The 16,518-nt window shown below is 44.7% G+C and overlaps 1 pseudogene across 1 annotated transcript in view, besides 1 other annotated feature; it reads left to right on the plus strand.

Moving 5' to 3' along the window:
- The window catches only part of HERC2P2 (HERC2 pseudogene 2), a 95,995-nt pseudogene that overhangs the window by 69,116 nt on the left and 10,361 nt on the right, over positions 1-16,518 (plus strand). The window contains exons 25-33 of the transcript NR_002824.3: positions 437-580; positions 2,353-2,410; positions 5,197-5,339; positions 8,977-9,229; positions 9,327-9,463; positions 10,023-10,121; positions 13,207-13,380; positions 13,478-13,603; positions 15,632-15,771. The product of NR_002824.3 is annotated as an HERC2 pseudogene 2 (transcript). The remainder of the gene's footprint in view (positions 1-436; positions 581-2,352; positions 2,411-5,196; positions 5,340-8,976; positions 9,230-9,326; positions 9,464-10,022; positions 10,122-13,206; positions 13,381-13,477; positions 13,604-15,631; positions 15,772-16,518) is intronic.
- Positions 2,411-2,990: an enhancer, noted in NCBI's record as "OCT4-NANOG hESC enhancer chr15:23306154-23306733 (GRCh37/hg19 assembly coordinates)". NCBI's record gives its function as "activates a minimal SCP1, AML or CMV promoter by ChIP-STARR-seq in primed H9 embryonic stem cells {active_cell/tissue: H9 hESC(primed)}" and the evidence as "EXISTENCE:reporter gene assay evidence [ECO:0000049][PMID:30033119]".

Consider the following 16,518-nt stretch of genomic DNA (forward strand, 5'->3'; position numbering starts at 1 on the left):
GGCCTCTGCTATCAGATAAGCCTTGGGCATTGCTGCGATCTTCATCAGTTAAAGAGCTAGTGGGGCTGACAGATTCTCTCAGAGGAGTCTTAGAAGAAGAGTGGAAGCGGCTGAAACTTCAGCAACTTGGGGAACATTTGATCATATTAATAGTAGCTAACATGGTTCTAACCGTGTTAAACCCATTGAATCCTGCGTCCTATCAAGTTAGGTGCCTGGAGAGCAGGGAAGGAAGACCCAGGAGGCAGAAGATGCTTACCCAGAAGCACCGAGTGTAACTCTGGGAAAGGCAAGCCCTTCGTCACGGACAGTGTGTGCGGTCGGCAGATTCCTGAAGGGCAGAGCGTTACTCGTCGCCATGTGGCGGAGGCTTGCTGCTGGCGAGGAGGGAGTCTGAGCAGGGCACGCCCTTCTCACTGAGTCTTTCCTTCCGCAGGACAAGTGGACCTGGACCTGCTGCGGCGCCAGCAGTTGAAGCTATACATCCTGAAAGCAGGTCGGGCGCTGTTCTCCCACCAGGATAAACTGCGGCAGATCCTGTCTCAGCCAGCTGTTCAGGAGACTGGAACTGTTCACACAGGTGTCTTTTTAAAAAGTTCTTAAATCTTTATAAGAAGGGCAGTAGAAAGTAGACAAAGGAAGTGAATAATCAGTTCATAAAAATGGACATAGGTGGCTTATAAATGTACAAAACAGACACGTGGCCTGCCCAGCAACCACCAACTGTGAATAAAATTGTCATCGTCATCTTATAAGACAAGACTGAGGGCATCTGGTGGGTGGGGAGGGAAAAAGGTATTTTCATGCCTTCCCATTTAAAGTGTGCTGCATGGGTCAGCAAGATTGGTGGCACGCAGGTATGTGTTAGAAATGCAGACTCCCAGGCTGCACCCCAGACCAAAGAAATAGAGCCTGTATTGTAACAAGATGAACCTAAGCTGGTTCTTCAAATGCGCGTAAAGCCGCACTCCATGAACAGGCTGCTGCTGGGAATTTCAGTTGGTGTAGCCATCTAATGGGCGTCTGAGGAAATGAGTTGGACTTTGAAATGCATAGATGTATGTATGTATTTATATACTTTGGCCCAGCAAGTCATTCTGTGGGACTTTATCACACGAAAAGGCATGTAAAGATAATGTATTCACCACCTGGGCACAGTGGCTCATGCCTGTAATCCCAGCACTTTGGGAGGCCGAGGCGGGCGGATCACGAGGTCAGGAGATAGAGACCATCCTGGCTAACACGGTGAAACCCCATCTCTGCTAAAAATACAAAACATTAGCTGGGCAAGGTGGCAGACGCCTGCAGTTCTAGCTACTCGGGAGGGTGAGGCAGGAGAATGGCATGAATCTGTGAGGCGGAGCTTGCAGTGAGCTGAGATGGCGCCACTGCACTCCAGCCTGGGCAACAGAGCAAGACTCTGTCTCAAAAAAAAAAAAAAAAAATTGGCGGGGCATAGTGGTGGCTGCATGTAATGCCAGCTACTTGGGAGGCTGAGGCAGGAGAATCACTTGAACCGGGGGGTGCGGAGGTTGCCGTGTGTGCGGATTGCAGGGTGCAGATTGTGCCACTGCACTCCAGCCTGGGTGACAGAGTGAGACTTCGTCTCAAAAAAAATAATAAATAAAAATAATGTATTCAACAGTGTCGTTATGGCCTCCTTTTTGGTATTGTTTTTGTATTGAAAAACTGTAGACACCAAAATACCCATTCTTATGTTGTGTATCCGTACAGTGTGATATCATGGTGCCATTCAAAATGATGGTACATGTATAGTCTTCCCTCAATATCCATGGGGATGAGTTCCAAGACCCCCAGTTATACCAGAATTCACTAATGCTTAAGGCCCTTCTATAAAATGGTGTAGTATTTGCATATAACCTATGCACATCCTCCGAAATACTTTAAAAATATAAATGATATATAGGCTGGGTGCGGTGGCTCACGCCTGTAATCCCAGCACTTTGGGAGGCTGAGGTGGGCAGATCACGAGGTCAGGAGATTGAGACCATCCTGGCTAACACGGTGAAACTCCATCTCTACTAAAAATACAAAAAATTAGCTGGGCGTGGTGACGGGTGCCAGTAGTCCCAGCTACTTGGGAGGCTGAGGCAGGAGAATGGCATGAACCCAGGAGGCGGAGCTTGCAGTGAGCCGAGATCGTGCCACTGCACTCCAGCCTGGGTGACAGAGCGAGACTCTGTCTCAAAAAAATAAATAAATAAATAAAAATAAAATAAAATAAATGATATGTAAATAGTTGTTATTGCTATTCTTTTTAAAATTATATTTTAAAAAATTGTTTTATTCTGAATATTTTTGATGTGTGGTTTGTTGAATCTTTGGATGCAGAACCCATGGATACGGAGGGCTAGCTGTATATGTTTATTGCTGTGGAAACATGAAAACAGTAAGTGAACAGAAAAGCACACTGCTATGTATATCCGTTTATAGATATGCCATAGTTATCTGTTTAGCAAAACAGTGACCCAGTAATCTTTGGTGGAATTTTGGCTGTCTTTATTTTCTTTATATTTCTCTATATTTAGTTTTCTAGAATGAGCTTGTGTTACTTTTAATAGAAAAAAACATTTTTTGATCTCCAACTATTGAAAGACATTATGCTAAGTCTTTTGCGGAGAAGTCCTTTTCTATGATCATTGCTCTCTAGGGTTTGGATGAGGAGAGGAAGTGAATGCAGATGGCTCTCTTTGTTCTCTGGGGCCAGGGGGCGGTGAGGCATGTGAGTGGTTCCACAGGCGTCTGGAGCCAGTGGCAGCTGAGCACTGGACGGGCAGCCTTTGAAGGCTGTGGCAGACAGATGCCAGCAGACAAGCACTCTGCTGGTGGTGGAGGCAGGAGGAGAGGAGTGAACGTGGTGAGTCTTTGGAAGCACGTTGAGCAGCTCTCCTCTTCTTGGAGCTCAGGGTTTTTCGATGAGTGGTGGGGCTGAAGCTAGATGGGCAGCTGACATCCTGTTACAGAGTACCTGGGAGACCAGGGTGAAACTTGAGGCCCACTTGGAAAGCTGTGGTAGGGGCCACATGGTAAGCATTGACCTTCGGGTGATACACCTGCTAGGAAGGTATAGGAGTATCTGAAACAGGAGATGACAGAGATGGAGAATTGCTCCTGCGTCAGGTGATGAGGGGGAAGGCATGAAAAGGGAAAGAAGGTTCTGGTGGAAGGAAGGTGCCATCCACTGTGATGGTGTAGTCTTGTAGATGATAACTTTATGGGGAACCAGCAAAAAGTGGAAGGTGACTGCTGTTTCAAGCTTGAGTTGAGGGAGGAATATTGAGTAGTGTGTTTGAAACAAATAAGCAAGTCCAGTAGAATGTGGAGTGTGTGCGTTTGCTTCTTAAGAGGAGAGGATGCTATGAAATTAATTTTAAACCTGCTGAGGATGAAAGAAATCAATTGAAAGTATAGAATCAATTAATAGTAGAGGTCGTAGGGAACATGAAGATTTCCCAGTTGTAGAGATTGGGAGATTGGAGCCTGGGAATTGGATTGGCTGTTCTGTTCTGCACTCAGCCCGATGAGCAATTACAGCAGACCTGAATCAGGATGATCAAGTCTGTGCTTTGGGCCGAGCAGGGACTCCGAACAGAGCTAGATTGACAAAACTGCCATGCACCTGTTTTTGTAAATTTTTATGGGAACACAGGCACACCACTTGTTTACACATCGTCTCTGGATGCTTTTGCTCTGCAATGGCAGAGCTGAGTAGTTGGGACAGAGACTGTACAGCCCATCAGCCTAAACTATTTACTCTCTGGCCCTTTAAGAGAAAGATTTCCAGCTCCTGGTCTAGTTAGTTGAAATTGTCACTGAAGAAAACCAGCACATGCAAATGCTGTGAGTACCTGGATGAGTACCTAGATGTGTGAAGTGGGCTTGAGCGCAGTGGATCTCCCTGGGGCTGTGTCAAACAGAGTCCTAAAGGCTGCACCTAAAGCTACTCATAACAGACAAAAAGCCATCACCCTGAGCACATGTCACATTTGGACTTGGGGTCACTTAATGATCTCAACAAGGCTTAGCTGGAAAAGCTACAGCTAGAAATATGCACGTGGGATGTGTCTGTGTCAGGGGTTACTGAAGCCGTGAGTGAACATGAAAGAGAGTGTGTAGGTCAGGCATGGTGGCTTACGCCTGTAATCCCAACACTTTGGGATGCCGAGGCGGGTGGATCAGGAGTTGGAGACCAGCCTGGCCAACATGGTGAAATCTAATCAACAGCCTGGCCCCATCTATACTAAAAATACAAAAATTAGCTAGGCGTGGTAGCATGTGCCTGTAGTCCCAGCTACAGGGAAGGCTGATGCAGGAGAATCACTTGAGCCAGGAGGCAGAGGTTGCAGTTTGCCAAGATTGTGCCACTGCACTCCAGCCTGGGCAACAGAGTGAGACTCCATCTCAAGAAAAAGAGAAAGAATCAGACCAAGTGCAGAAATCTGGGAAGGAGCATTTGCTGGCTCTAAGAGACAGATGCACTAATGAAGGACAGAGACCAAAAGCAGGCAGTGAAAGTGGTTTAGAGTCTAGTTCCTTTTTTTTTTTTTTTTTTTGAGATGGAGTCTCGCTCTGTTGCCAGGCTGGAGTGCAGTGGCGTGATCTTGGCTCACTGCAACCTCCAACTCCCTGGTTCAAGCAATTCTCCTGCCTTAGCCTTGCGAGTAGCTGGGATTACAGGCACGCACCACCATGCCCAGCTAATTTTTTTTTTTTTTTTTTTTTTTGAGACCGAATCTTGGTCTGTCGCCCAGGCTGGAGTGCAGTGGCGTGATCTCGGCTCACTGCAAGCTACGCCTCCCAGGTTCATGCCATTCTTCTGTGTCAGCCTCCCAAGTAGCTGGGACTACAGGTGCCCACCACCATGCCCGGCTAATTTTTTTGTGTTTTTAATAAAGATGAGGTTTCACTGTGTTAGCCAGGATGGTCTCGATCTCCTGACCTCGTGATCCACCCGCCTTGGCCTCCCAAAGTGCAGGGATTACACGCGTGAGCCACCGCACCCAACCTAGAGTCTAGTTTTTGTTCGATGTCTGAACCTTGAAGATTTTGGTTTTCTATCACATAATGAGGCAGAAGTCATACCTGATTTAACATGCTTAATGCATTTTCTTTAATAGTAAAGTGGTGTTCGCAGTTGAAAATAGAATCTTACACATATTTTGTTTTTAAATTCAGATGATGGAGCAGTGGTATCACCTGACCTTGGGGACATGTCTCCTGAAGGGCCGCAGCCCCCCATGATCCTCTTGCAGCAGCTGCTGGCCTCGGCCACCCAGCCGTCTCCTGTGAAGGCCATATTTGATAAACAGGAACTTGAGGTACAGCCATGCAGCCTTGACAGTTTTTAATCCACAGCACTAAATTGTGAACACTTTTTTTCTAGGTGTATATTTTCTTAAGGATCTATTCTGAATGTTAAATGATAGTACGCAAATAATTCTAATGATTCATTGGGGTTTAACCATGTTTGTGCATAGTCTGCAGAACATTATAATACTAAAGACTGAGAGGGTTGAAGTTTAACCTTATTTTGGGTTTGTGTAAATTGTGAAAAAATATTAACTAGATGCAGCATGGGTTAAACGCTCACATCTTCATGAAGGGATCTTTTTCCAGGAAGTAGAATTATTCAAAGAGGCTCGTCAGGACTCTGGCAGCCGTTTGTTTCATTCACTCAGGAGCCTCTTGGGGGTGCTCTGGTGCCGCCAGCCTCTCCGCTCTCTCCATGCTGTGGAGCAGGTGAGGGCAGCAGCGAGGCACAGGGTCAGGGCTACGGGACGTTCGCATAGAGGAGGCGACGTGATTGAGTGTAAGAGGGATGGGAGCTTTCATGGCTGGCAACATAGAGGATTAGAGATGTTCATTCCAAAATCTTTCTTGCTGTGTAATACATTAAAAATCTGGACAAAATATCAGAGACAAAAATAAAACTATCAGTACTCAGTTTGGCAATCAGAAATTACCCTAACAGAAACCCTCAGATAGCAGGGCCCTTCTGGGAGCAAGGGTCCAGATGAGGCAGCCACTGCCTTGGACAGGTGGGAGGCCTCCCCCAATCCTAGAACGAGCTGGAAAGATGGTGGGGGTGCAAAGGGAGAAAGCAAGAAACGGGTGTGGGCAGGAAGGGAGGAGGTTGGCCATGAGCTCTTCTGAACTCCAGCTTCTTCTCAGGTCTGGGAACCTCCAAGGTGAAGGTTCATTTTAAAGGGCCTGGTTGTGTTTCCAGTCTCCCTGGCAGAGATCAAAAGACGCTGAGCAACTTGAGAGCACGTGGGGCGGTGCACGTGCTCCCTGCAGTCATGCTGGGAGATGCCGAGTGTGAACACCTAGAAGGCCGTGTAGAGTTGTTCTTCAGGAACTGAGAAGGACTGTTGTACAAAAAAAGACCTTCCGCTGTTTTGTCTCCATGGATTCCGATGGAGAGTCGTTGTTCTCATCTCTTCTTTTGTATGAAATGTCTGTTTTCTCTGGTTGCTTTTCGTATTTTGTGTTATCTTTGGTTTTCTGCAGTTTCCCTAAGCTGGGCTCATGTATGCAATGGTGGCCCACCCCGCCCACCCCACCATCCTCCTTGAAATTTATTTAAGCTGCTTGCATCTTTGGCTTGATTTTTGTTCCCCTACCAAATTTGGAAACTTTTGACTGCTGTTTTTTTCCCCGTCTTGCTCTTTTTGTTCTTTTCTGGAAATACTATTATACATCTGTTACACGGTTAGTGAGTTTCCTTTTATGACTTTAATAGAAAGTCTTTCTTCTCCTTGTTAGTAGCTTGGTTAGTTTGTCTTGATCTGTTTGAAAGGTCAAGATGCTTTGCTTTGTTGGGCCTAATCTGTTGTTATATCCATCCAAGACATACTTTATTTTATATTTCTCACATCTCTTATTTCCATTTGGCTCTCATTTAATAGTTTTATATCTCTTCTGACAGTTCCTTTCTTCATCCTTTAAGTCTATCTTTTTTTTTTTTTTTTTTTTTTTTGATGGAGTCTTGCTCTGTCACCAGGCTGGAGTGCAGTGGCGTGATCTCAGCTCACTGCAACCTCTGACTCCTGGGTTCAGGTGATTCTCCTGCCTCAGCCTCCCGAGTAGCTAGGACTACAGGTGCCTGCCACCATGCCTGGCTAATTTTTGTATATTTAGTAGAGATGGGGTTTTACCATGTTGGCCAGGCTGGTCTCGAACTCCTGACCTCATGATCTGCCCGCCTCAGCCTCCCAAAGTGCTGGGATTACAGGTGTGAGCCACCGTGCCTGGCCAAATCTATCTTTTGCTGTACATTTTAAAACATATTTCTGATAGTTATGTTGAATTTCTTGTTTGCTAATTCTAACATCTGCCCACCTGTTGGTCTGCTGCTCTTTGCAGTTTTTTTCCCTTGATTATAGTCAGTTATTGGTTGTTGTCCTTCACATATGAGAATTTTTATTTCATTCTGGATTCTTTGGACGTTACATTGTATTGGCTCTGGGTTCTGCCTCCTCTGGAGAATGGGGAGTTTTCTTCTCACAGGCAGTTCAGTACCTGGCAGTCCTCCTTGATCCTGAGGTGGCTTGGTGCCAGGCTTTCTAATGATTTTTTATTTGCCCTTAGCCCTGGTTGTGGATCCTTAATTCTCAAGGATTTAGAATCTCTTCTGGGCGTCACTGGAAGCCTTGACATTCTCCTCCCCACCTCTAGTTGGTTGAGCTTGAGCCTCAGATGCTGTCCTGGCCCTGGGCAGCTGGGGAGCCCCTGCAGCCTTCCAGCGGTCCCTTTGTGCCGAGCGCAGGCTCTTCAGTGGTGCTTCAGTTTAGATTCAGCTGTAGATTTGCGGGTAGTCCGTCCGCATATTTCGTGGTTTTCCCTCTGTGGTTTCTTTCTCAGGCGGGCTTTCCCTCACATTCTGGTTGCTCTGGCAGGCCGGGACCCCAGCCCCTGCAGTGCAGGAAGGTGCGCCGTCTGTGGTTAAATGCGCGTCTTACCTGCAGGCTTCTCGGGGTCAGGGGTTGTGCTTGTTTTATTGCTGATTGCGTCAGCTGTTCTCCAGTGCCCTCAAGCAGTTTTAAAAAATATTTTATCCAGAGTTCATGATTATTATCAGCCAAGGGTTAGTCCAATGCACCCTAACTCCCCATTATCAGAACCAGAACTCTTGGCTCAATCTGGCTCTGAATTTTAAACTTTTAGGATGAAACCTGTCACTTCCAAGTTACCCAGACTTCGCTGCAAAACCCTAGGCTTTGATACTTCCTGAGCACCGGGGGGCTCCACAGTGTCCTCGGTTTCTTCCTGATTCCTTCCTCACATGCTCCGTTTAACAAAATAGCAAGTCAGTGCTATGAGAGCAGCTGGGGAGGAGGACCAGGGAGTTGCAGACAGATCAGGGAAGTGCTATTTGTGCTGTAGGTGGGGAGTTCCCAGCTGTAGAGACTGGCAGTTTAGATGTTCACTGATTCATTGCAGTGTGTTTCCCAACTAATACTCTTTTATTTCTCTTACTTTTTAATACCTTGTTTAACCTCACTGTGGTTATTTAACCCTTGAATAGTTGAGGGTTGTTTTAATGGTACATGAGAGTCCTGTGTCATTTCTGGCCTGTCTAAAACACAGGTGCCTGTGGCCGCCACCACAGTGCCTGGTTAAGGCAGGGGAAATGCCTTTCTCCCTGCTCCCTCAAGCCCCTGTGACTGCTCGCTTAGGGCTGTAATGAAGTTTTCCTTAATGGACATTGATACTTGGCTAATTTAGTAGGCTCTCTGTCTGCTGAAACAGGCAAGTTATTTTACCACCAAGTATTTTCTCTGCATTAAACTGCGAAACTTGGCTTTGTCATTTTCTAACATGTTTTAGGAACTCATTGAAAAACGCACATGTGAATGTGGGCTTTCTAGACTTGCATGATGCCCCATGTTCCTAGACTGTGTAAGCTAGCCGAGGGCACTTCCCAAACCTCCCAGGACCCTCTTGTCTGCCCAGACTGCTGCACTGGCCGTTGTGGAGTCCACTCACCCTTCGAGCCCAGGATTTGAAGACTGCAGCTCCAGTGAGGCCACCACGCCTGTCAACGTGCAGCACATCCGCCCTGCCAGAGTGAAGAGGCGCAAGCAGTCACCCGTTCCCGCTCTGCCGATCGTGGTGCAGCTCATGGAGATGGGATTTCCCAGAAGGAACATCGAGTTTGCCCTGAAGTCTCTCACTGGTGCTTCCGGGAATGCGTCCGGCTTGCCTGGTACTTCGTTTTCCTGGCCTCTGCTTGTACGTGTGTGGGTTCCCGCTTCAGGGCTGTTGACTCACAGTGGCTGGTGTGCTGTGTGTGCCTCTCTTAGGTGTGGAAGCCTTGGTCGGGTGGCTGCTGGACCACTCCGACATACAGGTCACGGAGCTCTCAGATGCAGACACGGTGTCCGACGAGTATTCTGACGAGGAGGTGGTGGAGGACATGGATGATGCCGCCTACTCCATGGTCAGTGCCTCCCATGTGACCGCCCGCACCTGGGCCGCTGTCCGTCTAGCGCTCTAACAGTCTTACACCTTGGCTTTCTCTGTCCCTTGAAAGAATTAACTATATCTACTGTGGACTGTTTCATAAAACCAACCTATGGTGTTGCCGGGCACAGAACAAAGCTGTGTTTCACTACTGAAGGGATGATTGGGTTTCTATATCATAATTACTTTTAGCTTCAGAACAGACCCTTGTTCAAACATCTCATGATCTTCGGTAGCCATTAGAGGATATTTTATTAAAATACCATGTTTTGACACATCAGTTTCTGACCTGAGTAAATTGTTCATAGGATTAATTTGGAAGTGCCTTGGAAATTTTGTATACTTGTAGCTTTTGAGATTCATTTCTGCCTACTATGCTACTGCTATTAGTCTTTTTTAAATGAAGATTTTTATAGAGAAAATAAAGGATTTCATCCTTTACTTTTTAATATTATAGATTTCACAGACATTTCTTTTTGAGTAGATTTATTGAGTTCTCCTTTTTTTTTTTCTTTGAATGTATTTATTTCTTGTAGTCTACTGGTGCTGTTGTGACGGAGAGCCAGACGTACAAAAACCGAGCTGGTTTCTTGGGTAATGATGATTATGCTGTATATGTGAGAGAGAATATTCAGGTGAGTAATTGTCTTAAGCTGGAGCCTCGATCCGTTTTTCACTCAGCAAATATTTGGGTATGTCCTATATGCCAAACATCAGTGGACAGAGGCCCCTGCCCTCAGGGAGCCTGCCTTCTGGTGCTGGAAGACATACCTGACCAGTGAGCTCATGGTACGCTAGAAGGTGCTGTGTACCCTGGAATGAGAGAGAGCAGACTACAGTAAAGGGGTGGGAGTGAGGGCACAGTCCAGGGATCGGGATCTGCAATGAGAAGGTGAGATGGGTGCAAAGCCTACAGGGTGTGAAGGGTGGCTGAGCAGGATGGGCACCCAGACAGAGGCTGCTGTGGCTGCCCCGGTGTAGCCAGAGGACAGAGGGGCAGATGGGCTCAGGGGCAGCCGGAGAGCACAAGTGGCCTGTCCACGGTGGACATGGCGCAGGGATGGCTGTTTTCTACTAGCCCCACTTGTGACACTTCCTACATACCTTTCCTTGTTTTTCTTATGTAATTCTCATTGCCATCAAACTTTAAAAATCTAATTATGTTTTATATAGTCCTTTATCTACTTTAAATCATTTCTTGTCCTAATTCTCTTGTTTTAGTATATTTTAGAGAAAATCCCCCAAATCATCTCATTTCACCTGTATATATGTCAGTGAGTATCACTAATAAAGAATCTTAACATAATGACATTTCTGTTTACCAGCATTACCTAACAAAATAAATAATAATTCCTTAATATCATCTCATATCTAACGCTTGCTTGTAGTTTTCCAGTTTTCTCAGAAATGGCTTTAATGGTTAGTTTTTGAACTTGGATAAACCAAGATTGTATGCCTTATCTGCATTTGGTTGATGGATCTTTGAAGTCTATTCCAAGCTAGAGTGGTTCCCCCTTGTCTTAGCTCAGTTGGCTATAACACAGTACCATAGACTGGCAGCTTCAACAACAGACATTTATTTCTCATGGTTCTGGAGGCTGGAAATCCAAGATCAAGGTACCAGCTTGGCTGGATTCTGGTGATGGCCCTCTTCCTGGCTTGTAGGTGGCTACCTTTTTTTTTTTTTTTTTTTTTTTTGAAACAGAGTCTCGCTCTGTCACCCAGGCTGGAGTGCAGTGGCGTGATCTCAGCTCACTACAAGCTCCGCCTCCCGGGTTCCTGCCATTCTCCTGCCTCAGCCTCCTGAGTAGCTGGGACTACAGGTGCCCGCCACCATGCTCAGCTAATTTTTTTGTATTTTTAGTAGAGACGGGGTTTCACCATGTTAGCCAGGATGGTCTCGATCTCCTAACCTCGTGATCTACCCGCCTTGGCCTCCCAAAGTGTTGGAATTATAGGCATGAGCCACCGTGCCCGGCCAGGTGGCTGCCTTCTTGCTGTGTCCTCCTGTGGACGTGGGGCTGGGGATGGGGGGAGCTGGAGCTAGCAGGGGAGCACTGGTGTCTTTTTTTTTTTTTTTTTTTTTTTGAGACGGTGTTTCACTCTTGTTGCCTAGGCTGGAACGCAGTGGCACGATCTTGGCTCACCACAACCTCTGCCTCCCGGGTTCAAGCGATTCTCCTGTCTCAGCCTCCCAAGTATCTGGGATTACAGACATGCACCACATGCCTGGTTAATTTTATATTTTTAGTAGAGACAGGGTTTATTCATGTTGGTCAGGCTGGTCTCGAACTCTTGACCTCAGGTGATCCACCTGCCTTGGCCTCCCAAAGTGCTGGGATTATAGGCGTGAGCCACCATGCCCATCCTGGAGTCTCTTCTTATAAAGACCCTAATCCTGTTGTGTCAGAGCCCCACTCTTATGACCTGATTTTACCTTAATGACTTCCTTAGAGGCCCCATCTCCTAATACTGCCACATTAGGAGTCGGGACTTCATGAATTTTGCGGGGGGGATACAAACATTCATTTCATAGTAACCCTCCTTCTCCCTTCCTCTCCTTTCATGCTATTTATTTGTGGCTGAAACCATGTCCTCCAAATGTCTTACAGTCTGCATTTGGAGGTGGCTTCCTTGTGGCTAACATCTTCCTCTCTCCCTGTTTCTCCAATGCAGTAGGAGTTAGGGTTGGAGGGTGATTGGACCAGGCTGAATCTCAGGCAGGAAGCTTCATAGGCATGTACTCCCTCCGGCCCCATCTCAACAGGCAAGCAGGTTTGGGTGGGTTAGGTCTTGTCAGCCTGCTCCTTCCTTGATGACATTCTGTATTAATTGTCCATCTCATAGCTCCAGCAGGCATTAGTGTCATCACCTAGACCTATCATTAGGGGCTGCACCATAGTGATTTTCTAACTTCATCTTCTCTGAGTTCATTAGCTGGAATTCTCTTCTGTGAAAAAAAGCTTTGTTATTAATCTTGGTTGCTCTTGATAATACAGGGAGACTTCATCAGTTTTCACAATGATGCATTGGTGTTCTGATATGTATAAAGATGACCAGGAAGCTTCGTTTTCCTTATTGTCATGATGACCAATCCATTGGCTTTTAGGGTGTGATGTCTCCACTGTTATATTTTTGATGATCAGGGAATCCTTTTGAGTAATCTTTGAAAACTCCCTTCCTTTATGATACAAGTTGATCCAGCCTCTTCCTGTATATTTCCTGCCTGAGACACAAAGCCAGACAGTGTTCTAAAGAGTTTCTCTTCCCTTTATCATTAAATAATACTTAGAATGCACTCTGGGTGCTAGATGAAATTCTTTTTTTTTTTTTTTTTTTTTTGAGATAGGGTCTCACTTTGTCACTCAGGCTGGAGTGCAGTAGTATGATCTTGGCTCATTGTAACCTCCACCTTCCAGGCTCAAGCAATCCTCTCAACTCAAGTCTCCCAAGTAGCTGGGACCACAGGCATGTGCCATCACATCTGGCTAATTTTTGTATTTTTGGTAGAGGTGGGTTTCGCCATGTTGCCCAGGTTTGTCTCAAACACCTGAGCTCAAGTGATCCTCCCACCTCAGCCTCCCAAAGTGCTAGGATTACAGATGTGAGCCACCGTGCCCAGTTGAAATTCTTTATTAAGAGTAGAGTAATACTACTTATCATGGCTCATTTCACCTGTGTACATGATGGACTGGATCTCCAATTTCATTTTAATTCTAGGTGGGAATGATGGTTAGATGCTGCCGAACATACGAAGAAGTGTGCGAAGGTGATGTGATGTTGGCAAAGTCATCAAGCTGGACAGAGATGGATTGCATGATCTCAATGTGCAGTGTGACTGGCAGCAGAAAGGGGGCATCTACTGGTTTAGGTACATTCATGTGGAACTTATAGGTGAGCACATTCTTTGTTTAGTGCTTTTACTTTTTCTTAGAGACAGAATTCCCATAAATGAATACTGATTATAATGATTTGTTATTGAAATCTGTAGGCTATCCTCCACCAAGAAGTTCTTCTCACATCAAGATTGGTGATAAAGTGCGGGTCAAAGCCTCTGTCACCACACCAAAATACAAATGGGGATCTGTGACTCATCAGAGTGTGGGGGTTGTGAAAGGTAATATCATCTGGGTAATTAAATTCCTGATGTTAACTTTTCATTAATGCATATGTACTTAGTATTTCTTTTTGTTCAAGCACACAAAACAGAAAACAAGTGTGAAGAAAGAGATAGAGTGTTCCTTTGCTTGTCAGTGCCTTCTGCCAAAGGCCACAAAGGAACTCACCTACAGTGAAACAATCAGATTTATTAATATTAACTCATTGCGGTACAGGAGAACACACACCTTGGGGAATGGGTGTCTCCATCAGAGGGAGTGAGCGAGGACTAATGAAGTTTATGTTGGGTATTTGGGGGAGGGGTCGAGAAAGCAGGGGTAATCCTAAAACAGGATGTCTTAATAAATTTACCTAGCAGGCAGAAAGAATGGAGCCATGCTAACGTCATGATTGGTAAGGAAGCAGTCATTCATATCACCAGGATAGGGGACTGTGTGGTTGTTTGTGGTTTGGATTAGACTCAACTTTAATCACACATGGTTAAGGAGGGGTTTTGGTTGTGCCTTGATTCATCAGTCACAGAGTGGCCTTATCTGATGTTCGTGTTCTGTAAACTTGTCCTGTCATTTGTTCTGTGAAATGGCCTAACATTGACATTAACAGGCCAGCTCCTGACTGTCAGGACTGCTTTTTCTTTCTCCTCCCCTGACCAGGCTGGAGTGCAGTGGCGCCATCTTGGCTCACTGCAACCTCCGCCCCCGGGTTTAAGCAGTTCTCCAGTCTCAGCCTCCAGAGTAGCTGGGATTACAGGTGCCCACCACCGTGCCTGGCTAATTTTTGTATTTTTCATAGAGATGGCGTTTCCCCATGTTGGCCAGGCTGGTCTCGAACTCCTTACCTATTGATCCGCCCACCTCGGCCTCCCAAAGTGTTGGGATTACAGGCATGAGCCACCATGCCTGGCTCTTTTTCATGCTGTATAAAAATTTAGGACTGAATTTAAGAAATGGAAATGTGCTAATGATGGAAATTAGGAACTGGAAACAATTCTCAGATTATATTTAATATGATACTGTTGAGATTCCAAATCAAATCCGTGGCACACTTTGAAAGGCACACTATGTCCGTTTTAACAGTTGCATGAGAAATAAGTATGTGTATAGTTTTATAAACTCTTGATGCATAAAGAGATTATTTGTTTGTTCGTTTGAACCTTGTGGAAGCCTCTCTTTTCATCAGATCGCTTAGAAAATGGCCACAGTTGGTGGTTCCCCAGTGGTGAGAGGTTCCTAGAGCTTCTCATGTTACATAAGAACAAGTGGATTATTTAATATTTTACTTTAAACATTTTTCTTTGCTTAAGAGATTGTTAAAATATTTGCAAATCAAAACAAGACAAATTTTAAAAATAAGAATTTGGTTTCTTTGTTTTGAGTGACACGTTGCTCTTATCAAAGGATGAAAGAAGTCTTCATGTTATTAATGTGGTTTTTATTCCCTGAGATACCAAAGGTATTGTATGGAATTGTTGACTTGGTGTAATTAGAAACCAAAATGTCCTATTTTAAACCTAATGCAAAAGTAAGGAATGTAGTTTACAATGAACCTCCATGTGCTCATTACCTGGCTTTAACGATTGTCGCCTCATGGCCAAAATTATTCATGCTCCCTTCTTGTGATTATTTTGAAACCAGGCGCTGACATCATATATTAGTTCATCCATAAGCATTTTAGTACCTATCTCTAAAAGATAGACTCTTTGTAAAAAACAAATAACTACAATGTAGTATGACATGGCTAGGTGCAGTTTTAAGTTCAGGTTTTTATTGGTGAAGAGGAAGATGGATCAGGTGATTTCTGTTGTGTCCTGGCTTTCAGTGCCAATGGAAAAGATATCATTGTTGACTTTCCCCAGCAGTCTCACTGGACTGGGTTGCTATCAGAAATGGAGTTGGTGCCCAGTATTCATCCTGGGGTTACGTGAGTTATTTTTATGATTGCTAGATTTGCTTTGGGACGAATGGTTTTCTGTTGAATTAAGTTTAATAAATGACCTTTCTTAACTCAGTTGCTATTTTACAAATAGGTGTGATGGATGTCAGATGTTTCCTATCAATGGATCCAGATTCAAATGCAGAAACTGTGATGACTTTGATTTTTGTGAAACGTGTTTCAAGACCAAAAAACACAATACCAGGCATACATTTGGCAGAATAAATGAACCAGGTATGGCAGAATGTTTATATTCTCTCTTCCACCAAATATTAATGAAATACTTATTGTGGACCACAGTGTACTGGAATTTGTTATTTTAAGGTTCCTTTGCATATGGTAATTCTGTAGAGTGAGTACAGTGAGACGGAAGTGACGGTCCTACCCGCTGATGACTGGCTGGCTTTTTAAAAAAATCAGGATGGGGTATCGGGGAAGAATTAGAATAACTAGGCTTGTTTGCTTGTTTTTCCATAAAGAAACATTAAAAGAATCTCAAGAAACTAGTAAGTGTTTAGTTGCGTGGCATGTGGAATTGGTTAGATGGAGAGTGAGTGTTTTAATTTGTATACCTTTTATTATATTTTTCATTGTGGCAAAATATATTTAACTTAAAATTAGCCACTTAGTCATTTTCTAAGTTTATAATTCAGGGTATTAAGTACCTTAAGTACAGTGTTGCACAACCATCACAACTTTCTCTTACCAAAACTTTTCACCACTCCGATCAGAAACTCTGTACCCATTAAGCAATTTAACTGCCCTACTTCCCCTTACCCCAACCCTGGTAACCTTGAATCTAACTTTGGTCTCTACGAATATGACCACTCCAGACATCTCATCTAGATGGAACCATGTAAGATTTATCCTTTTGTGTTTAGCATAATGTCTTCAAGCTTCATCCGTATTGTAGCATGTGTCAGAACGTCATCCTTTTTAATGGCTGAATAATATTCCACTGTATGCATATATCACTTTTCT

Source organism: Homo sapiens, chromosome 15 (genome assembly GCF_000001405.40).
Source record: "Homo sapiens chromosome 15, GRCh38.p14 Primary Assembly".
NCBI lineage: Eukaryota > Metazoa > Chordata > Mammalia > Primates > Hominidae > Homo > Homo sapiens.